We start from the raw sequence: 22,201 nt of genomic DNA, 5'->3' as shown, positions 1-22,201 counted from the left end.
TGGCTCAATGCATGAACTTCTTGGTTCAGTGCGTGAATCATAATACCTGTTAAACCCACTCTATGGGCCGGGCGCGGTGGCTCACGCTGTAATCCTAGCACTGTGGGAGGCCGAGGTGGGCGGATCATTTGAGGTCAGGAGTTTGAGACCAGCCTGACCAAAATGGTGAGACCCCCGTCTCTACTAAAAATACAAAAAAAAAATTAGCCGGGCGTGGTGGCACATGTCTGTAGTCCCAGCTACTAGGGAGGCTGAGGCAGGAGAATCGCTTGAACCCGTGAGGCAGAGGTTGTAGTGAGCTGAGATTGCACCACTGCACTCCAGCCTGGGCAACAGAGCAAGACCCGGCCAAAAAAAAAAAAAAACAAAAAAACAAAAAAACCCACTCTATGAATAGTGAGGGTCAAAGAGGTTAGAGTCTGGCACAGGTAGACTAGAATTCCCAGTCTGTTCTCTTGGGCTCCAGATTCTCACTCCACCACCTGAACACTAGTGAGTCCCTTCCGTTCCCAAGCCTCAATTTCCTTAGACAGATGTAAGCAGTTGAATTGACTAACAACTATCCAACCCCAACCTACTGGGCAAGTTGCCTCCTTTGGGGTCAAACACTATCCAACTTCAGTTTCCCAACGTCATAAAGGAGAACTCTAAAAGTTGAGAATCGAAACTGATGACAGATTGACTAGACGGCCAGCCTGTTAAGGTGGCCCCAGATATTCCAGCCTCAGCCCAGAGTCCTCCTGTGCCCCTACTGCAGCAAGGGTGTCTCCAAGAAGGGGGACCTGGAGTCAGCCCGTCACACCTGGTTTCCTCTCTGCTAGGGTCCCTCCTCCCACAGAGCACTGGAGGGCAGCTGAGGAGGAGCTACCTTAAAAAAGGAGGTGTGTGCCAGGGAGCTGGGTAGGAGCCTGGCTATATATCTGCCCAGCAGCGGTACTCTCGGGACAGAGATGGCACTGATGCAGGAACTGTATAGCACACCAGCCTCCAGGCTGGACTCCTTCGTGGCTCAGTGGCTGCAGCCCCACCGGGAGTGGAAGGAAGAGGTGCTAGACGCTGTGCGGACCGTGGAGGAGTTTCTGAGGCAGGAGCATTTCCAGGGGAAGCGTGGGCTGGACCAGGATGTGCGGGTGCTGAAGGTAGTCAAGGTAAGACTGGGCTCCTCCAGCCCCCACGCAAGACAAAACCCAGTATCAGAGTCCACGTCCCTGGGGATGCTGGGGACCCCTGTCCTCCTTATCCCTAGCCCATGCTGATGACATCTCAGAATACCCCATCCCACCTAGCTGTCTACACCCCACTGCACCACTGCCTTGAGTAGAATGAGTCTAGTAATAATAGCTCACATTTGGGGGCTCACTGGACTAACCTCTTAACATACACTATCTCTAATTCTTGCACTCTGTGAGATAGGTACTATTCTTTGCCCAGTTTACAGATTAGCAAATGGAGGCTCAGAACCAATACAATGCGAGGTCCTTGGTTGGATCCTAGTGTGAATGAACCATCTGTAAAATATAGTTTGGGGACAACTGGCCTAGATATCAGATAGTACATATATCTGATATGGGAAATCATTGTTGATTTTGTTAGGTGTAACAGTAGTTTTGTGGTTATCAGAAGGTTGTCTTTTGTTTGGACACGAACACTGAAGTATTTTAGGGACAAAGTTCCTTGGTGCCTATAATTTACTTTAACGTGGCTTAGATTAAGCACATGTAGCCAGGAATTTAGACTTGTTGAATCAACTAGTTGGGTATATGAGTGTTAGTTGTATCATCTATTTTTCTATGTGTTTTAACTTTTTGATAATAAAATGACTTTTTTTTTTTTTAGAGACAGGGTCTCGCTCTGTCACCCAGGCTGGAGTGCAGTGGCACAATCACCACTCACTGTAGCCTCAATCTCCCTGAGCTCAGGTGATCCTCAGCCTCCTAAATAGCTTGGGATTACAGGCATGCACCACCATGCTCAGCTAATTTTTGTATTTTTTGTAGAGATAGGGTTTCACCAATGTTGCCCATGCTGGTCTCGAACTCCTGGGATCAAGAATATGCCCACCTTGGCCTCCCAAAGTGCTGGGATTACAGGTGTGAGCCACCATGTCTGGCCGGCCAATAAAATGATTTTTGTTTTTGTTTTTTTTTTTTTGAGACAGAGTCTTGCTCTGTCACCAGGCTGGAGTGCAGTGGCACGATCTCAGCTCACTGCAACCTCTGCCTCCCAGGTTCAAGCAATTCCCCTGCCTCAGCCTCCCAAGTAGCTGGGACGACAGCGCCCACCACCACGCCCGGCTAATTTTTTGTATTTTAGTAGAGACAGGGTTTCACCGTGTTGGCTAGGATGGTCTCGATCTCCTGACCTCATGATCTGCCCTCCTCGGCCTCCCAAAGTGCTGGGATTACAGTGAGCCACTGCACTCGGCCTAAAATGATTTTTTAATGGAGGCTCAGAGAGGTGAGGTGACTTGCCCAAGGTCACACAGTGTTGAAGCTGGGATTTGAACTTGACTCAAGGGACCCAAGCCCCCCTCACTGAGATTTTCCCCCAAGCCCTTCCTCCAGCTGTTTCATGCCACCGCCTGTGCTAGCTAAGATCAAAATTCAAGAGGGTCGGAGCTAGAAAGACTTTGGAGAATCAGACAGTCTCACCAATGACTCACTTAAAAAATTAAGTAAACCGAGGCACAGAGAGGGTGAGAGATACCCCAAGGTCACACAGCGAGTTGGTGGCAAAGGCAAGACTAGAATTAGGACCCCTGACTCCCAGCCCAGTGCTCAAGTTCTCTCTCTAGGGGCAACCAACTCACAGAGGGATCTAGAAGCCCTGGGCCCCTATCCGTTCTTTGCACCTATCCCCAGCATATGAAGCCTGAGGCCATACAATTTATAAGTGAGAAACCACAAATTTTGATATTAGACAGACTCTTCGCTTCTTCCTTTACCAGCTGTGTGGTTTTGACCTTCCCACTCTTCTTTCTCAAACCCACATTCTTTTCATCTGTGATTGGGGCATCATCATCATCTCTCCCTCACCAAGCCAGTGGTGCAATGCAGGCTGAATGATTCATGCACGATAAATGCTCAGAAACAGAAGCATCATTATAATTCTTGCCAAGCTTTCTTCTGGGCCTGGGACTCAAGTCTGACTCTGGCAGACCCTCCTAGACCACCCCCTCCCCAACAAACTTGAGAATAAAGTGGAGGGAATAAGGAATGTCTGGTAAGAGGAGGATGCTACAAGAATAAGTTTATTGTGTGTGTGTGTGTTCCACCACGCCTGGCTAATCTTTGCATTTTTAGTAGAGACGGGGTTCCATCATGTTGGCCAGGCTGGTCTCGAACTCCTGACCTCAAGTGATCCACCCACCTCGGCCTCCCCAAATGCTGGGATTACAGGTGTGAACCACCACGCCCGGCCAAGAATGAGTTTTTACGGCAGGAAATGCTATTTACCTAAGCCTCAAATACTTCCTGCACATCATAGCCACTTTTCCTCTTGAAACCACTAAATGGTAGCAATCCCCAGTGAGCCATGACTAATGAGGAATAATATATCTTATTTAGAGTCTAAACCCTCCCGTTCCCCACCCTCTGAAAATCTAGTGAGCGGAGCTGGTCCACATAAGGGAATGCTCGTCTTCAAATGAATTGTGCTTAAATAGGTTTAAAACTGAAGCAAATCAGGAAGCCTGTTCTGGATGTGTTCTTTTCTCTCTGCCTGGATCTTACCAGTGGGAAAGGCAGAAAGGGAAGTCTACGCCAGGCACAGTGGCTCACGCCTGTAATCCCAGCACTTTGGGAGGCCAAGGTGGGAGGATTGCTTGAGCCCAGGAATTCGAGACCAGCCTGGGCAAAATGGTGAGACCCCCGACTCTACAAAAATATATATAAAAAATTAGCTGGGCATGGCGGTGCATGCCTGTAGTTCCAGCTACTCCGGAGGCTGAGGTGGGAGGATTGCTTAAGCCCAGGAGGTCGAGGCTTCAGTGAGTGAAGATCGTGCCATTGCACTCCAGCCTGGGCAACAGAGCAAGACCCTGTCTCAAAAAGAAAGGGAAGTCTAGACTGGCCTTCGGGGGGAATGTGTCCTTCATTCACACACAGGGTGCCATCTCCAACCCTCTCCCAGGGGGTGGAGGTGCTGGGTCTGAATGCCCATGGTCCCTTGGAAGCAGGGCCTGGCTCACAGCCTTGGGTCACGAGGAAGAAAGAGGCGGAAGAACCATCCCCTACTTGAGTTCTGGCTCTTTCTCTGACTCTGCTGCCTTCTGGCTGGGAGACCATGGCAAGCTCCTCACTGCCTCAGTCTTCTCATCTGTACATTGGAGATAATTCTCCTAGTACCCACCTCAATACAGGAAGTGAAGGCGTTTTTTTTTGTTGTTTTGTTTTGTTTAGATGGAGTCTCGCTGTGTCGCCCAGGCTGGAGTGTAGTGGCGAGATCTCAGCTCACCACAACCTCTGCCTCCTGGGTTCAAGCGATTCTCCTGCCTTAGCTTCCCCAGTAGCTCGGATTACAGGTGCACACAACCACACCTGGCTAATTTTTGTATTTTTAGTAGAGATGTGCTTTCACCATGTTGGCCAGGCTGATCTCGAACTCCTGACCTCATGATCCGCCCACCTTGGCCTCCCAAAGTGCTGAGATTACAGGCATGAGCCATCATGCCTGGCTGGGAAGTAAAGATTAAAAGGAATAATATGTATACAGGGCTCTTATGGGTGCCAGACACAGGGCGTGCTCATGTCATCCAGCATCCGTGCTCATGTCACACAGGGCATGTTATATCATCCGGCAACAGCTGGAATCTGATTCTTGTGCAGTGACTCCAACCACCAAGAAAAGTAGCCTTCTGGGGGTCTGATGCCTCCCTAGCAATTCCACCTCCCAACACAGAATGAGAAGGAGAGGAGGCCAGAGAGTTGTGGCGCTTTGCATACCAGAGGCACCAGGGCCTGGAGAGCTCATCTAGAATCTCAAAACATCGAAAAATCCCTTCTCGACCTCCTTCCATTACTAACAGGAAAACTGACCCCCCGGCAGCAGAAGAGATTGTCTAAGTCAGCTGGATAATGAGAAGAAAGAGAAATGTATTGCTGACTTCCTGTGTGCCAGGCACCCCACCAAACGCTTGGCATACATTATTTCATCTGATCCTCCCAGTAGCCCAGTGACTCTTGTTCCAACATTACTTTCATTTTACAGATGAGGGTCTCAGGAGTCAGAATGTTTACCCAGCTAAGAAACAGGGAAGAGTCAAGATCTTTTTCAGGCTGCTCCATTTCACAGCCTATGGCTCTTAAATCCACCAGGCAAACTTGCTCCTTGCTTTATAATGTCATGAAATTATTCAGCCCCACCACCACCCCCAGAATCCTCAAACAACCCTATGGAGTAGATGCTACCATTCCTCTGGAGTAGGCCTTACTCTGTGGGTAAGAAGACTGGGTCTCAGAAGCAATGCAGTGTAGTAGATAAGAAGCTGGGCATTTGGGGAGGCCAAGGGGGCAAATCGCTTGAGTCCAGGAGTTCGAGACCAGCCTGGGCGACATGCCAAAACCCAGTCACTACAAAAAATACAAAAATTAGCCAGGCATGGTGGCGCAGGCCTGTAGTCCTAGCTACTTGGGAGACTGAGGTGGGAGGATTGCTTGAGCCAAGATCATGCCACTGCAGCCCAGCCTGGGCAACGGGAGTGAAACCCTGTGTAAAAAAAAAAAAAGAGTCTGGGCTCTGAGGGCTGCAAACTGCGAGACCTGAGACAAATGACTAATGAGGAGAAAGACAAATGTGTTGCTGACTTCCTGTGTGCCAGGCACCCCACCAAACCCTTGGCATACATTATTTCATCTGATCCTCCCAGTAGCCCAGTGACTCATATTCTGCCATTGCTTTCATTTTAGAGATGAAGGTCTTAGGAGTCAGAACATTTACCTAGCTAAGAAACAGGGAAGTGTCAAGATCTTTTTCAGGCTGCCCCATTTCTCCATCCCATGTCTCGAGATCCTCCAGACATCTCAGTTTTCTCACCTGTAAAGTGTGGGTATTAGTACTACCCACAACCCATCCCTCAGCGGGTGGTGAGCATTCAGTGAGACAGTGCATGTGAAGTGCCGCAGGGGTTGCCTGGCTCATGGCAGTGGGCCTCAGGGTGACGGGGCTCTGTGTTCTGCAGGTGGGCTCCTTCGGGAATGGCACGGTTCTCAGGAGCACCAGAGAGGTGGAGCTGGTGGCGTTTCTGAGCTGTTTCCACAGCTTCCAGGAGGCAGCCAAGCATCACAAAGATGTTCTGAGGCTGATATGGAAAACCATGTGGCAAAGCCAGGACCTGCTGGACCTCGGGCTCGAGGACCTGAGGATGGAGCAGAGAGTCCCCGATGCTCTCGTCTTCACCATCCAGACCAGGGGGACTGCGGAGCCCATCACGGTCACCATTGTGCCTGCCTACAGAGCCCTGGGTAAGGGGAGGGGAAGCTCACCCGACTCACACACTTGCCCACCCCAGGAGACTTCCCAGTGTCTCACCTTTACTCATGGCCACGTGCACACACCCACATTTATTCATTTCATCTGTGTCCTATGCTTGGGGCTGGGTTATTGCAGTGCACAGGATTAACTCAACTCTGGCTATCATATTGCTCAACTTGGAATACAGAAATTGACCAAAGAATTGCAGAGATAAATACATGATTGCAGCCTGGGCGCGGTGGCTCACGCCTGTAATCCCAGCACTTTGGGAGGCCAAGGCAGGTGGATCATGAGGTCAGGAGTTGAAGACCAGCCTGGCCAAGATGGTGAAATACCATCTCTACTAAAAATACAAAAAATTAGCTGGGTGTGGTGGTGGGCGCCTGTAATCCCAGCTACTCAGGAGGGTGAGGCAGAGAATCACTTGAACCCAGGAGGCGGAGGTTGCAGTGAGTCAAGATCGCGCCATTGCACTCCAGCCTGGGCAACAGAGCAAGACTCCGTCTCAAAAAAACAAAAAACAAAAAAACAAACAAAAAAACATGATTGCAAATGGTGTAAATGCTCAGAGAAAAAGAATGGGGTGGCCTGGGTAACCACAGAAAGGGTGCTCAGGAAGTGACTTTCTGGGGAAACAACATTCAGGAGGCTCTGACACCCAGTGAGGGGAAGGAGCTAAAAGTGGGAGTGGGGGTCTGTCACTGCATTTTATAGAAGCAGATCCTAAGACATGGATGTGAGGATACGCAGTTTATTTGGGTATTCCTCCCAGGAAACACCGGTAGGGAAGTATGGAACTGAGATGGGAAAGGCAAGAATTCAATACAACGTGCGTCCATGGGCAAGTCACCACCCTGAGCTTCATGTCCTGGGAGAACTCACAGTCCCATTATGGAGCGAACCTCTTCGGGATCCCAAGTGGGACGCTGGCGTGCTTACTCACCAGCTTCCCAGCCGTCACTGGTTGGGGGCTGCTTTGGGAGCACTAACTCACTGGCCCCTGTTGTTTGTCCTCGGGCAGAGTCCTAGGTGTTTGAAGTAAAACCTACATGCTGCAAGCCCAGATCCTAGAGGTTTCATCTCATGTGCTAACTCCTATCAGCTGTAGTGGCTGGCTGCGTGGAGTTGCTCTTTGGAGAAGGTATAAGAGACAGGATCTGATTTTAGCAAGGAAGAGAGTGCTGGGATGTCTCAGTGATGTGTACCATGGAACTGGTTCCTGGTTCTCCCTATGAGTTTATATATATATATATTTTTTGAGACGGAGTCTCGCTCTGTCGCCCAGGCTGGAGTGCAGTGCCGTGATCTCGGCTCACTGCAACCTCCACCTCCAGGGTTCAAGTGATTCTCCAGCCTCAGCCTCCCGAGTAGCTGGGATTACAGCCCGCCACCATGCCATGCCTGGCTAATTTTTCTATTTTTAGTAGAGATAGGATTTCACCATGTTGGCCAGGCTGATTTCAAACTCCTAACCTCAGGTGATCCGCCCACCTCGGCCTCCCAAAGTGCTGGGATTACAGGCTTAAGCCACCACACCCGGCCTCCCTATGAGTATTGAAAGAGATACAAAACAGATATTAAAGAAAATGAGGGACATTGAGGACATCCAGGGAGGGGTCTGATGCATGGAAAGCCCAATGTTGGTTCTCCAGAGTAAGAATTTCACAAAAAGGACAATTAGACAAGGCAAACCTTTGGTTTCTGAAGATATGAGGTCTCAAGTGTCCCTGGAGGGATACTTCCAATGTAAAGGCAGGCTCTCCCCAAAATACTACTTACCACCCTCTGGCTTCCTCAATCCCCAATCTCTTCCTTTGCTCCTTCACTCCTCAGGGCCTTCTCTTCCCAACTCCCAGCCACCCCCTGAGGTCTATGTGAGCCTGATCAAGGCCTGCGGTGGTCCTGGAAATTTCTGCCCATCCTTCAGCGAGCTGCAGAGAAATTTCGTGAAACATCGGCCAACTAAGCTGAAGAGCCTCCTGCGCCTGGTGAAACACTGGTACCAGCAGGTGAGGGGGCTGCCAGGATGGCAGGGGCAAGGAGAGGGAAGAGGGTGAGGAGGAAAGGCAGGGCCTGATTTTCATCTCAGGAAGCTGCAGCCAGGGGAAATGGAAGCAGGTAGAGAGGGAGAGAATGCTAGTCTTTTGAAATGTAAAGTGAAACCGTCAGTGAAGAAGGTGGAAAAGGAGGAGAGGAGGAGGAAGAGGAGAAAGAAACAGAGAAGGAAGGAGAAAAATAGGTGCTCTACAGTATTTCAGTAAACTAGTTATTTTTATTTTATTTTATTATTTTTTTTTGAGACAGGATCTTGCTTTGTTGCCCAGGCTGTAGTGCGGTGGTGCAATCACCACTCACTGTAGCCTCCACCTCCCTGGATCAAGACCTCCCTGGCTCAAGTGATCCTCCCACCTTAGCCTCCTAAGTAACTGGGACTACAGGCATGCACAACCATGCCCAGCTAATTTTTTTTATTTTTCTTTTGTAGAGACAGGGTCTCACTATGTTGACCAGCCTGGTTTCGAAGTGGTCTCAAGCGATCCTCCCACCTTGGCCTCCCAAAGTGCTGGGATTACAGGCACGAGCCACCACACCCACCCCACATGTTCTTGTTACCCTTCAATTACAGTCTAGGCCTGGCAGATGTCAGCTTCGCCGGGTACTGTGGCCATTCGTCACAGCAGGTTAAGGACTAACAAGGGGAAGGATTTCTTTAATTCCACCCCAGGAGTCGAAAAGAGGGCATGTGTGAGTGTAAACAGCCCTCAGGGACATTTCTCAGGCAGCAGCTCAGTCAGTTTTGGAAACAAAATCTTCCTCCGAGATAACGGAAACTCCAACTGCAAAACAGAACTCAGAGACAAAAATCATTTATTATATAGAACTTGCAGAGAAGTTACAAGGGAATCAGACAGCAGAAGGAAAGATTTGATCCAATAAAAATAAAATAGGCTGGGCATGATGGCTCACGCCTGTAATCCCAGCATTTTGGGAGGCCGAGGTGGGCAGATCATGAGATCAGGAGATCGAGACCATCCTGGCTAACACAGTGAAACCCCATCTCTACTAAAAATACAAAAAAATAGCCAGGCGTGGTGGCGGGCGCCTGTAGTCCCAGCTACTCGGGAGGCTGAGGCAGGAGAATGGTGTGAACCCAGGAGGCGGAGCTTGCAGTGAGCCGAGATCGCGCCACTGTACTCCAGCCTGGGCAAGAGAGCAAGACTCTGTCTCAAAAAATAAAATAAAATATAACAGGGATTTAAAGAAAAAACAATTACCGGCCAAATGTGGTAGCTCACGCCTGTAATTTCAGCACTTTAGGAGGCTGAGGTAGGAGGATCACTTGAGCCCAAGGGTTCAAGACCAGCCTGAGCAACATAGTGAAACCCCGTCTCTACAAAAAATACAAAAATACAAAAATTAGCTGGGGGTGGTGATGGGTTCCTGTAGTCTCAGCTGCTCAGGAGGCTGAGGAGGAAGGATCACTTGAGCCCCGGAGGTGAAGTAAGTTGAGCTGGGTATTTTTTTTATCTATTCACTAAGGCTTACATCTTACAGATTACAGGCATCCTACATTTTATATATCATCTAAGTTTTAAGAATGTAACATTTCACTAATATTGAAGAAAATAAGTTATATTACCATGAGTTTAAATTTCTAACAAAATTATAATGTTATTAGTTATGGTTTACAAAATTGAGTGTTAAGGATGAATTTGCAAAAAGTTACAAAACAAATTAATTAACTTATAATTTTTTTTTTTTTGAGACAGAGTCTTGCTCTGTCGCCCAGGCTGGAATGCAGTGGCGCAATCTCAGCTCACTGCAAGCTCCGCCTCCCGGGTTCATGCCATTCTCCTGCCTCAACCTCCCGAGTAGCTGGGACTACAGGTGCCCGCCACCATGCACAGCTAATTTTTTATATTTTTAGTAGAGACGGGGTTTCACCGTGTTAGCCAGGATGGTCTCGATCTCCTGACCTTGTGATCCACCTGCCTTGGCCTCCCAAAGTGCTGGGATTACAGGCGTGAGCCACTGAGCCCAGCCTTATAAATACATTTTAATTCAAAATTGAATTTCTAAGGTCAAGGATAAAGTTTTTTTGTTAGTAAGTCAGTGACCTATAGGAAAGGCCCAAGGTTTCATTTATTTGGGAGATGAGAATTATACAAGATGATTCTGTGTTTGTTTCAAGGCCAAAGTGTTATAGCTTTTTTTTTTCTCCTCTGACTTTGGGATGGGAGCTAATATTCATATATGATGGCCATAGGAAAATATGTCAGTTTTACTTCCACAAATCAAACTACTGAATATTTGACCAAAATTTTTCACTTTCTGGCTAAATATCAATGTATCAGTGAAATTCTTTTTTTTTTTTTTTTTTTTTTTCTGAGACAAGTTCTCACTCTTGCCCAGGCTGGAGTGCAGTGGCATGATCTTGGTTCACTGCAACCTCCTCCTCCTGGGTTCAAGCGATTCTCCCGCCTCAGCCTCCCAAGTAGCTGGGATTACAGGCACCTGCCACCACACCTGGCTAATTTTTGTATTTTTAGTAGAGACGGGGTTTCACCATGTTGGCCAAGCTGGTCTCGAACTCCTGGCCTCAAGTGATCCACCCGCCTCGGCCTCCCAAGGTGCTGGGATTACGGGCGGGAGGCACTGCGCCCGGCCTCAGTGAGATTCTTAACACAGGAAGTGACCACTGTCAGTTAAGATGCTTCCTTTTGCAAGTAAGAGAAAAACACAAAAACCAACTCAAACTGGCTTAAACAATAAAGGGAATTATCAGCTTATGTAGGAAAACCCCTAAACAGTAGGGGGGGCGGGCGGGGGGGGCGGGTTTCAGGCACTGGTGAGGGCACTGGCTCTGTTTCTCTGGAATTCTCTCAGCTTCTCATTCCTCTATATGTCAGCTTGGTCCTTTGGCTTGTTTCCCTCTTGGTGGCAAAATGGCCACAACTATTCCTGCCCTCATATTCACACATGGGAGGACTTCTCTTCTTTCAACCACTGAACAAAAGAACTAGGCTTTACTCTAGTTGAGCCAACTTAGATCGCATGCCTTCTCTTGAAGCAATCACTTGCAAGGGGGAAAGGTTTATGCTGATAGGACTGTGCCAGTCAGGGCCCATCCTGGAGCTGCGGGTGGGGGTCAACCCCTTCCAAACATCATGGCTACTATGCAATGGGGAAGGAAAGAATGTCTGCTAGAGAGGCAACCCCAATCTTCACTACAGAATCTCACCTATTACCATTTTTTCCCTCTATCTAAGGAAACCTTTCCTTTCTTTTAAGAAACATTTCTCAGCAGCTCAATACATTAAAATAGATTTAAATGGGACTGCTTAGGCTAGAATGTTTGTGACCGAGCGCAATCTGCTCATACCTGTTCATAAGTTCATTCCAGGAGTTACATCTGTTGAGCATATATTGAAGCCCAATGGACTAACTCAGCCCTTTAATTCTAAAATGGTGAAACCTATGTCTAGAGATGGAATGTGACATGGCCAAGGTCACACAGCCAGTAGGCAGCAGAGCCAGGACTAGAACTTGGATTTCTCAGCTTCTGGTCCAACGCCATCCTTACACAGAATCTTAGGGTCTCTCTCTCTCTGTCTTCCCATCTCTTTCAACAGTATGTGAAAGCCAGGTCCCCCAGAGCCAATCTGCCCCCTCTCTATGCTCTTGAACTTCTAACCATCTATGCCTGGGAAATGGGTACTGAAGAAGACGAGAATTTCATGTTGGACGAAGGCTTCACCACTGTGATGGACCTGCTCCTGGAGTATGAAGTCATCTGTATCTACTGGACCAAGTACTACACACTCCACAATGCAATCATTGAGGATTGTGTCAGAAAACAGCTCAAAAAAGAGAGGTACTGGACCACTGTTTGCCCACCAAATCTTACAGAAAAAAAGAGAGACGGGCTAGTGTAACGTGGCATAGAGTTTTATGGATTGGCTGTATTAAGCAGTAAGGCTGCCACCATAGTTGAGCATCGACCTCCCACACCAACACAGCTGGCATCTCAAGTTGGTGGCTTATCAAAGTCACTGGGGGGCCATGGGGCGGGTAGAAGCCTGTTCCTTGTTTCCTAAGCCACCCTCCACCTTAGCTTGGCCTTCTTGCTCTCTGAAGACCATTTCAGTGCTTTGTAGGAGCTAGCATGGGAAAATGGAAAGAATCTTGGAGACTCAAGTTTAAATCCCAGCTCAGCCATTTTCCTACTGCTATGAGCCTCAATCCCTTATCCATAAGACAGGAGTAAACTGGAACCTACGACATAGGATTGATGTAAGGGTTGGAGAAAATCTGTGTTAAGGATCCACAATATCTAGCATCTGGCAGATGCTGAGTAAATGCTTATATTGGAGCATGTGCTGTCAGCGTCCCATTCATATCCTCTCGGCCTTTACCGTTCTAGGGAAGGTTGGTTCCACTTCCAGCTGTCAGCACCTGCATCCCTTTGCCAGCAGACCCACTCTGAGAAGAGCCCTCCACCAGATCTGGTGGGAGTTGGTGGATAAATACCACAGCTCCCTCACCCAAAAGATGGAAGGAATCTGGGTCTCATTGCGTAACTTTTTTTTTTTTTTTTTAAGACAGAGTTTTGCTCTGTCACCCAGGGTGGAGTGCAGTGGCGCAATCTCCACTCATTGCAACCTCTGCCTCCTGGGTTCGAGTGATTCCCCTCCCTCAGGCTTCTGAGTAGCTGAGATTACAGGCGCCTACAACCCACACCCAGCTGATTTTTGTATTTTTGTAGAGACAGTGCTTTGCCATGTTGGCCAGGCTGGTCTCAAACTCCTGACCTCAGGTGATGCGCCTGCCTTGGCCTCCCAAAGTACTGGGCTTACAGGCGTGAGCCACCGCACTGGGCCCCATTCCATACTCTTTCCTAAAGATCGCCTCCAGTGGACCACAGTAGTAATTACTTCAATACCCACTCTTTGTTGTCTGCCTTCCCTTATCTGTCTCACTGTCTCACTCCCTTATTTGTGCTTCCTGGGATCACTTTCCAAATAAGCCAAATCCTTATCTGGGGATCTGCTTCAGGGGAAGCCCAACCCAGACAACTCTCTGTGTTAGAAGCTCTGGGCCTGTGTAAGCAACATCACAGTATTTAGTGTTCTGTTATGTAGTATTGGGTCTCTTTTGTAAGGAAGAAAAGCCAGGTCTGCTCATGAAAAGAGGATTTATTATAACCATGGCCAGAAAAATCGAGAAAGCATCAGGACCTGAGACTCCCTCTCTCTCTCTGTCACTCTCTCTCATGAACTACAGCACTTTTCCCCTCAGCCTCTGCTTCTCTCTCCACACCTGTCCGGCTCCCCTCTGCCTCCCAGGTATAAGGGATCTCCATCATCCCCATGTCCAAACCCCAGAGAGAACCAGTCTGATTCCTGGTCACGGGACACAGACCCCATGTGTTGGGTCACCTGCCAGCCAACAGAATGAGCCACTTTAGATCAGTGACCCCACCCCATAGGACAGCCTGGCACTTTCAGGCAGGACTGTTTTAGGGAGCAGTCAGGGTTGGGAGGAGCCAGCCTGGAGCCCAAAGTCCAGTTCATTCCAGTAGCCTGTGTCACATTCGATTACACAGATGAAGTCGCAGCTCCCTCCCAAGCCCTGGAGTACAAAGGGCTGGGTTTTTTTTGTTTGTTTTTGGGTTTTGTTTTTTTTTTTTTAATGGAGTCTTGCTCTGTCACCTAGGCTGGAGTTCAGTGGCACGATCTTGGCTCACTGCAACCACCACCTCCTGGGTTCAAGCTATCCTCCCACCTCAGCCACCCAAGTAACTGGGACTACAGGCGCCTGCCGCCATGCCCTAATTTTTGTATTTTTAGTAGAGACACGGTTTCACCATGTTGGCCAGCCTGGTCTTGAACTCCTGACCTCAAGTGATCTGCCCACCTCGGCCCCACAAAATGCTGGGATTATAGGCGTGAGCCACTGCGCCCCACTCAAAGAGCTGGTGTTAATCATGGACTTGCAGTCACCCCAAGTTAATAAGCAAGCCCAAGATCCCCTTCAAGCCAATATTCTTTAAAATATTTATTCAATATTTATAGAAAGGAGAGACTTTTGGGGGCAGCCCAACCTCTGCTCTGTTGAGGAGGTAGATGGGTAAGAGCCCCCATCTACTGGCTGTAAGAACTTAGGGCAATCTAGGCCGGGCACCGGTGGCTCATGCCTGTAATCCCAGCACTTTGGGAGGCCAAGGCAGGTGGATCACGAGGTCAGGAGTTCAAGACCAGCCTGGCCAAGATGGTGAAACCCCATCTCTACTAAAAATACAAAAATTAGCTGGGCGTGGTGGCGGGTACCTGTAATCCCAGCTACTCAGGAGGCCGAGGCAGAGAATTGGCTGAACCCGGGAGGTGGAAGTTGCAGTGAGCCGAGATTGCACCACTGCCCTTCAGCCTGGGCGACAGAGCGAGACTCTGTCTCAAAAAAAAAAAAAAAAAAAAAAAAAGGAACTTAGGGAGGTCTGTAAAAAGGGGACAACCACAACAATAAACAATAAAAATAACAGTCCCTACCTTATAGAATTGCTGTAAGATTAAAATAGGTTAATCTGCATAGGATTTGGCCTTGTGCTTCAATAAATGTCAGTAGTTGGTGGCAGTGGTGTTTCTACTATCCAAAGTAATTCAGCAGCTCTAACCTTAAACTTAAACTTGCAAAACCTGCTCCGAAGGTACAGGGCCCCCCCTGCCTGAAAGGGCATCTGTTATTACTCCAGCATGCCTCTTGGGGCCTCATTCTCCCCCTAAATTCCTTGCAAACACTTAAGGCACTATCCCAAAGAAGAAGAATTTTTTTTTTTTTGAGACAGTCTCACTCGGTCACCCAGGCTGGAGGGTGGTGGCATGATCTTGGCTCACTGCAACCTCCACCTCCTGGGTTCAAGCAATGCTCCTGCCTCAGCCTTCTGAGTAACTGGGATGACAGGTGCGTACCACCACACCTGGCTAATTTTTTGTATTTTTAGTAGAGACAGGGTTTCACCACGTTGGCCAGGCTGGTCTTGAACTCCTGACCTCAAGTGATCCTCCCGCCTCAGCCTCCCAAAGTGCTGGGATTACAGGCGTGAGCCACTGTGCCTGGCCCAGATAGGAATTCTTGGAAATAGCATTGTCTCCATCCTGTTACTCTCCTGCGGTGTTTTGGGGCCCTCTTGAACATCCCCGGGATGTGGATATCACAATTCTCAGTGGCTGGACGAAATAATTGCCGAGAAGGTTTTTTTCTGGCTTGAAGGCCTTCAAACCATTATGAGCCTGGGCACCCTTTTCCTGTGTTACAGGCCCATCATCCTGGATCCGGCCGACCCCACCCTCAACGTGGCAGAAGGGTACAGATGGGACATCGTTGCTCAGAGGGCCTCCCAGTGCCTGAAACAGGACTGTTGCTATGACAACAGGGAGAACCCCATCTCCAGCTGGAACGTGAAGGTAATGGCTCCTCTCTGGGCTGTCAAGGGCTTGAAGGTCAGAACGACAGATAAACTACTCAGTATTTACTCATTCAGTTCTGTGTTGATGGAGAACAGAACTTTAGAGTCACCGTTTAAGGGCCAGCTGCACCACCCATGGGCTCCGTGAACTTGGACAAATTCTTTGGCTCTCAGAGCCTTGGGTTTCTTACCTTCAAATTCTTGTTCTCCTTTCCTTTCTTTTTCCCATAATTTACTGGAGAATCAGTTCTGTGTTCCTGATCATTCTTTGCGTGAGTTGGGTCCAGCCAAGTCAGCTCAATCAGCCATTCTGTGCCAGTGCTGTTCTCAGGGATGGGGTAGGGGATGTGGGCTGGGGGACAACACAGGCACAGAAATAAGACATGACCACGACGCTCGGCCAGGTGCGGTGGTTCACGCCTGTAATCCCAGCACTTTGGGAGGCCAAGACAGGTGGATCACTTGAGGTCAGGAGTTCAAGACCAGCCCGGCCAACATGGAAAAAACCCATCTCTACTAAAAAAATACAAAATTAGGCGGGCGTGGTGGCAGGTGCCTATAATCCCTGCTACTCCGGAGGCAGAGGCAGGTGAATCGCTTGAACCCGGGAGCTGGGGGCTGCAGTGAGCTGAGATCGTGCCATTGCACTCCAGCCTGGACAGCAAGAGGGAAACTCTGCCTCAAAAAAAAAAGAAAAAAAGAAAAAAAAAAGACACCACCCTCACTCTCAGAGAACTCACCCTATGTTGTCAGGAAGCAAATCCATGAAACAAACTTACACAAAACTGCTAGAATTACCAGAGAAGACAAGATACTCTGAAAACAAACAAACAAACAAAAAATACTAAGTCATATTATTATATGATGCCAAACCTATAGTATAGGCAGAGATCACAAAAATCTATTTTATTAACATCACACTTTCTAGTGTGCAAAGCTCTTGTCCAAGGTCTGTCTCAGTTGATCCTCATAAGCAATTCTGTAAAGTAAGAAGGTCGAGTGTTATCACTATCTTTATTATTATTATCATCATTACTATTATTGCCATTTTACAGAAGAGAAAACTGAGGCTCAGAGAGGTTAATTAACTAAGGGCACTCTGCTAAGAGGCAGCAGAACCAGGGGCTCTGGGGGTCTGGAAGCAGAATAAATGTTAACTGAAGTCACCAGAGAAGATTCCTTTAAAAAGTTAGGAGTTGAAATGAGCCCTAAAGGCCGGGGGGAGATATAGACACTCAGAACAGAGGACAAAGGATGATGAGGGGTAAAGGATGGGAGGCTGGGATGAGCAAGATGTGTACAGGACAGGAGACTGAACTGCTTGGAGCAGAAGGCAGAAGCAGAATCAGAGGCTCCAGTAAGGTACATAGAGTATAAACGGGGGGACCCGCTGGCCAAATGAGGAGGCCCACCCATGGGCTGGAAAATATACGCCTCTGGATTTTTCCTGAATATAAAAGCCATTGTAGGCTGGGGGCAGTGGCGCACGCCTGTAATCACAGCACTTTGAGGGGCTGAGGCGGGTGGATCCCTTGAGCCCAACAGTTCAAGACCAGCCTAGGCAACATGGTGAAACCCCGTCTCTACTAAAAATACAAAACTTGGCCAGGTGCGGTGGCTCACATCTGTAATCCCAGCACTTTGGGAGGCCGAGGTGGGCAGATCACGAGGTCAAGAGATCGAAACCATCCTGGCCAACATGGTAAAACCTCATCTCTACTAAAAATACAAAAATTAGCTGGGTGTGGTGGCATGTGCCTGTAGTCCCAGCTACTAGGGAGGCTGAGGCAGGAGAATCGCTTGAACCTGGGAGGCGGAGGTTGCAGTGAGCCAAGATCGTGCCACTGCACTCTAGCCTGGCAACAGAGTGAGATTCCATCTGAAAAAAAAAAAAAAAAAAAAGAACAAAACTTAGCCAGATGTGGTGGCACGCACCTGTGGTCCCAGCTACTCAGGAAACTGAGGCGGGAGGATCGCTTCAGCTTGGGAGGTCAAGGCGCAGTGAGTTAAGATTGCACCACTGCACTGCAGCCTGAGGTGACAGGGCAAGGCCCTGTCTCAAAAAACAAAACAAACACACACAACATTGTGCAAATATTTTTTATCTTGGCTAGTCAGAAAACTTGGCAATGCCAGGCTTATATTTCTTTTTCTTTTTCTTTTTTTGTTTTCCTTTTGAGACAGAGTCTCCCTTTGTTGCCCAGGCTGGAGTGCAGTGGTGCGATCTCAGCTCACTGCAACCTCCACCTCCTGTGTTCAAGAGATTCTCCCACTTCAGCCTTCCGAGTAGCTGGGACTACAGGCATACGCCACCACACCCGGCTAATTTTTGCATTTTTTGGTAGAGATAGGTTTTGCCATGTTGGCCAGGCTGGTCTCAAACTCCTGACCTCAAGTGATCTGCCCGCCTTGGCCTCCCAAAGTGCTGGGAATACAGGCGTGAGCCACTGCACCCAGCCAAGGCTTATATTTCTTCTGGAAAGAATCAGCTAGAGGCCTGACCCTCGCCAGCATTTTCCAGGTGCTCTCCAGCCACCTGGGGCTCTCAGGCCCTGGAGTGTAGCCTCTGGAGGTGGTGAGAACACAGACTCTGGAGTCTGACCAACCTCACTTCACATATCTGCCCTGCTCCTTACTACCTATGTGATTGGTGTTCAGTAAATTACCTAACCCTGCTCAGTTTCCTCATCAATAACATGGGGGTAACAGTAGAACCAACCAACTAATAGAGATGCTCTGAGAATAAAATGCATTAAGGGTATGGAAGGTGCTCAGCATACAGCCTGGAAAGTGCTTACCACTCCCTAAACATTTGCTGCTGCCGCTGCTGCTGCTACTATTGTAAAGATAAGGACAGATGAAGGGAACATTTGCACATCAGACAAAGAAGTGTGGACTTAACACCTCTCCTTCTCCCTCTCCCTTCCAGAGGGCACGAGACATCCACTTGACAGTGGAGCAGAGGGGTTACCCAGATTTCAACCTCATCGTGAACCCTTATGAGCCCATAAGGAAGGTTAAAGAGAAAATCCGGAGGACCAGGGGCTACTCTGGCCTGCAGCGTCTGTCCTTCCAGGTTCCTGGCAGTGAGAGGCAGCTTCTCAGCAGCAGGTGCTCCTTAGCCAAATATGGGATCTTCTCCCACACTCACATCTATCTGCTGGAGACCATCCCCTCCGAGATCCAGGTCTTCGTGAAGAATCCTGATGGTGGGAGCTACGCCTATGCCATCAACCCCAACAGCTTCATCCTGGGTCTGAAGCAGCAGATTGAAGACCAGCAGGGGCTTCCTAAAAAGCAGCAGCAGCTGGAATTCCAAGGCCAAGTCCTGCAGGACTGGTTGGGTCTGGGGATCTATGGCATCCAAGACAGTGACACTCTCATCCTCTCGAAGAAGAAAGGAGAGGCTCTGTTTCCAGCCAGTTAGTTTTCTCTGGGAGACTTCTCTGTACATTTCTGCCATGTACTCCAGAACTCATCCTGTCAATCACTCTGTCCCATTGTCTACTGGGAAGGTCCCAGGTCTTCACCAGTTTTACAATGAGTTATCCCAGGCCAGACGTGGTAGCTCACACCTGTAATCCCAGAACTTTGGGAGGCCGAGGTGGGAGGAGCGCTTGAGCCGAGGAGTTCAAGACCAGCCTGGGTATCACAGGGAGACCCCGTCTCTACAAAATAAAAAAATAATTCACTGGGTGTGGTTGTGCACATTTGTAGTCTCAGGCACTCAAGAAGCTGAGGCAGAAGAATCACTTGAGCCCAGGAGGCTGAAGCTGCAGTGAGCTGTGATCACACCGCTACACTCCTGCCCAGGCCACAGAGCAAGACCCTGTGTCTAAAAACTAAAACATAAAAATAAGTAAATCCGTTTAAAAAAAGGATTATCCCAGCCCTGCCAGGGGGAGGATGAGGAGGGGTGTGAGGACTAAATATACAAATAAATAGTGTGGTCACATGACGCACAGCAACAGAATTCGGACCCACAGCCTTCTGCAGCAATCAACCCCAAACCATCAGGACTTGGGCGATAACTGGCAGCATCTCTAACTCCCCACCCTACTCCCATCCTGCTTCCTATTTATGACCAACCCAAGAAACCCAAATAAGCTCCCCAGACCAATCACATGGTTAGCCCCACTTCTGGTGAGTGCACTTCCAGCTTCCCCATACCAACAGCCTCAATCACGGCATCCCTGAAGCCTTCCCATTTTCCTGCCTGTCTTTAAATCTCTGTCAAAAGCGAGAGATGGGTGGCTGGTTCCTTTGCTATAGCAAGTTGGGAATAAATCGCCTTTGTTAGTTCTCATTTGGGGGCTGTTTATTTCCACAGGGCCTAATGCTGTCCTAATGGTTATTGCTTGATCATTTGAGCTTCTCAACTCTAAGAAATGAGGACTGGGGAAACTGAGGCAAAAAGAGACAAAGAATGGGAGATTGAGGATGATGCAGTGTAAAAAAAAATCACCTCAACTCCTAAAACCCATACACAAACAGTACATAATAGTCAGGAAACTGTAGGAAAGTAATAGCATCTTTATTATCAAAGGACGTCATGTGATCAGGTTTACTCCAAGCAATAAAAAGTTTCCTTTTGCCCCCCTGTTTTGCCTAGTTTTCTGGTGGGCTACTCTCCTACCATAGCATAGAAAATGCACACTGCAATTGGTTATCAACAGCCTCTGGTCAATTTAGCAATCATAATCTGTGTATCTCCCACCTCTGTTTGCCTTCAGGGACAGAAAAAGTGCCTCCTTTCCAGGAGGTAGACAGGCTGTTCCAGTCCCCATCTTTGTGTCCTTCATAATGCCCAGCACAGCCCACATTGTAGGTGGTGGGAAAATTCTTGTTTAAAATAAAAAAAAGAATGAAAAATGCAATGTCTTAGTCCATCTGGGCTGCTAAAACAAAATACCATACACTGGATGGCTCATGAACAATAACCATTTATTTCTTACAGCTCTGGAGGCTGGGAAGTCCAAGTCAAGACACTGGCAGATTTGGTGTCTGGTGAGGACCTCTTCCTGATTCACAGATGGCAGCTTCTCACTAAGTCTTCACATGGTAGAAGAGGCAAAGGTGTCTCTAGGATCGCTTCTTTTTTTTTTTTTTTTTTTTTTTGAGATGGAGTCTCGCTCTGTCACCCAGGCTAGAGTGCATTGGCATGATCTCAGCTCCCTGCAACCTCTGCCTCCGAGGTTCAAGCGATTCTCCTGCCTCAGCCTCCCGAGTAGCTGGGACTACAGGCACCTACCACTGTGCCCAGCTAATTTTTTTTTTATTTTTAGTAGAGACGGGGTTTCACCATCTTGGCCAGGCTAGTCTCGAACTCCTGACCTTGTGATCCACCTGTCTTGGCCTCCCACAGTGCTGGGATTACAGTTGTGAGCCACCATGCCTGGCCTCTGGGGTCTCTTTTATGAAGGCATTGATCCAGTTCATGAGGGCTCAGGACCCATTATGTAATTGAAAGATTCTCCGTGGGGCCTGAAAGCTTAAGAGAATGAATGACCCCTCCCTCCCCTCCCTCCTTGGGCCCGGTCCCAAGGCGCAAGGCCACTCGCGCCAGCAGCATGTGTCAGCAAGATAGCAGAAGCGGGAAGAGAGCGGGCCAGAAGACACCTACCCCCTGAAGACCGAGAGAGACGTCATCCGGGTACAATGTAGCGGTTACAACAGACTGAGAAACTTCCTGTTTACAGGAGACTACAAAACCCCTGCCCCGTCCTCATTTGGTGCTGACGCCATTTTAAGCCTCAGCCCACCTGCACACACACTGCCTCATGTTGTCTGTTGGCCACGCTCTTGGGGTTCGAACCAACACAAGACCCTTTCACTAATTACTTCCCAGAGGTCCCACCTCCTAATACCATCACCTTGGGAGTAAGGACTTTTTGGAAATTATCAGTATCAAAATGGAGTCACTTATGTCAAACCCTAACAAATGCCTGTCACAAAAATTATCTCAAGAAGTTCCTAAAATCCGCAGTATTATAGATAAACCACTTGCATAAGAATATTTGCCTAACAGTGGGTGTCTCCACAATAAGCTAAAGCCAACTCCTGCAACAGGCTCCTGTGATCAACGGTACTTGTTTTAAAGAAGCTTATGTGGACTTTGTCTTTTCTCGTTGCCACAACCTCTTTTAATGTGCCTATAGTCCACTATAGCATGCATATCTCAAATTGCAATTCCTTGCAATTCTGGAATAAACGCTTTATTTTGGAGAGTCAGTCTCTCTGTTATTTATTTTATGGTGTCAATTTTAA

The 22,201-nt window shown here is 48.4% G+C and overlaps 1 protein-coding gene across 6 annotated transcripts, besides 3 other annotated features; it reads left to right on the top strand.

The window, feature by feature from the left end:
• Positions 511-1,010: an enhancer, noted in NCBI's record as "H3K4me1 hESC enhancer chr12:121476715-121477214 (GRCh37/hg19 assembly coordinates)". NCBI's record gives its function as "activates a minimal SCP1, AML or CMV promoter by ChIP-STARR-seq in primed H9 embryonic stem cells {active_cell/tissue: H9 hESC(primed)}" and the evidence as "EXISTENCE:reporter gene assay evidence [ECO:0000049][PMID:30033119]".
• Positions 512-931: an enhancer, noted in NCBI's record as "active region_7153". NCBI's record gives its function as "activates an Ori minimal core promoter by ATAC-STARR-seq in GM12878 lymphoblastoid cells {active_cell/tissue: GM12878}" and the evidence as "EXISTENCE:reporter gene assay evidence [ECO:0000049][PMID:35858748]".
• On the top strand, positions 676-22,161 carry OASL (2'-5'-oligoadenylate synthetase like). Of its 6 annotated transcripts, none has more exons than NM_001395419.1 (6): positions 676-1,148; positions 6,179-6,461; positions 8,305-8,480; positions 12,105-12,346; positions 15,785-15,932; positions 20,892-22,161. In NM_001395419.1, the coding sequence occupies exons 1-6, from the start codon at positions 951-953 to the stop codon at positions 20,943-20,945; spliced, it is 1,101 nt and encodes a 366-aa protein (NP_001382348.1). In that variant the 5' UTR covers positions 676-950; the 3' UTR covers positions 20,946-22,161. The 6 variants fall into 6 exon arrangements, with proteins under 6 accessions (NP_001382348.1, NP_003724.1, NP_001382347.1 ...); NM_003733.4 differs by lacking the exon at positions 20,892-22,161 and adding an exon at positions 18,864-20,811; NM_001395418.1 differs by lacking the exon at positions 12,105-12,346.
• Positions 1,011-1,512: an enhancer, noted in NCBI's record as "H3K4me1 hESC enhancer chr12:121476213-121476714 (GRCh37/hg19 assembly coordinates)". NCBI's record gives its function as "activates a minimal SCP1, AML or CMV promoter by ChIP-STARR-seq in primed H9 embryonic stem cells {active_cell/tissue: H9 hESC(primed)}" and the evidence as "EXISTENCE:reporter gene assay evidence [ECO:0000049][PMID:30033119]".
• Positions 22,162-22,201: the final 40 nt, after the last annotated feature.

The sequence above is a fragment of the Homo sapiens genome, chromosome 12 (genome assembly GCF_000001405.40).
Source record: "Homo sapiens chromosome 12, GRCh38.p14 Primary Assembly".
Taxonomy (NCBI): domain Eukaryota; kingdom Metazoa; phylum Chordata; class Mammalia; order Primates; family Hominidae; genus Homo; species Homo sapiens.
This window is presented reverse-complemented; position numbering and strand designations above follow the sequence as displayed.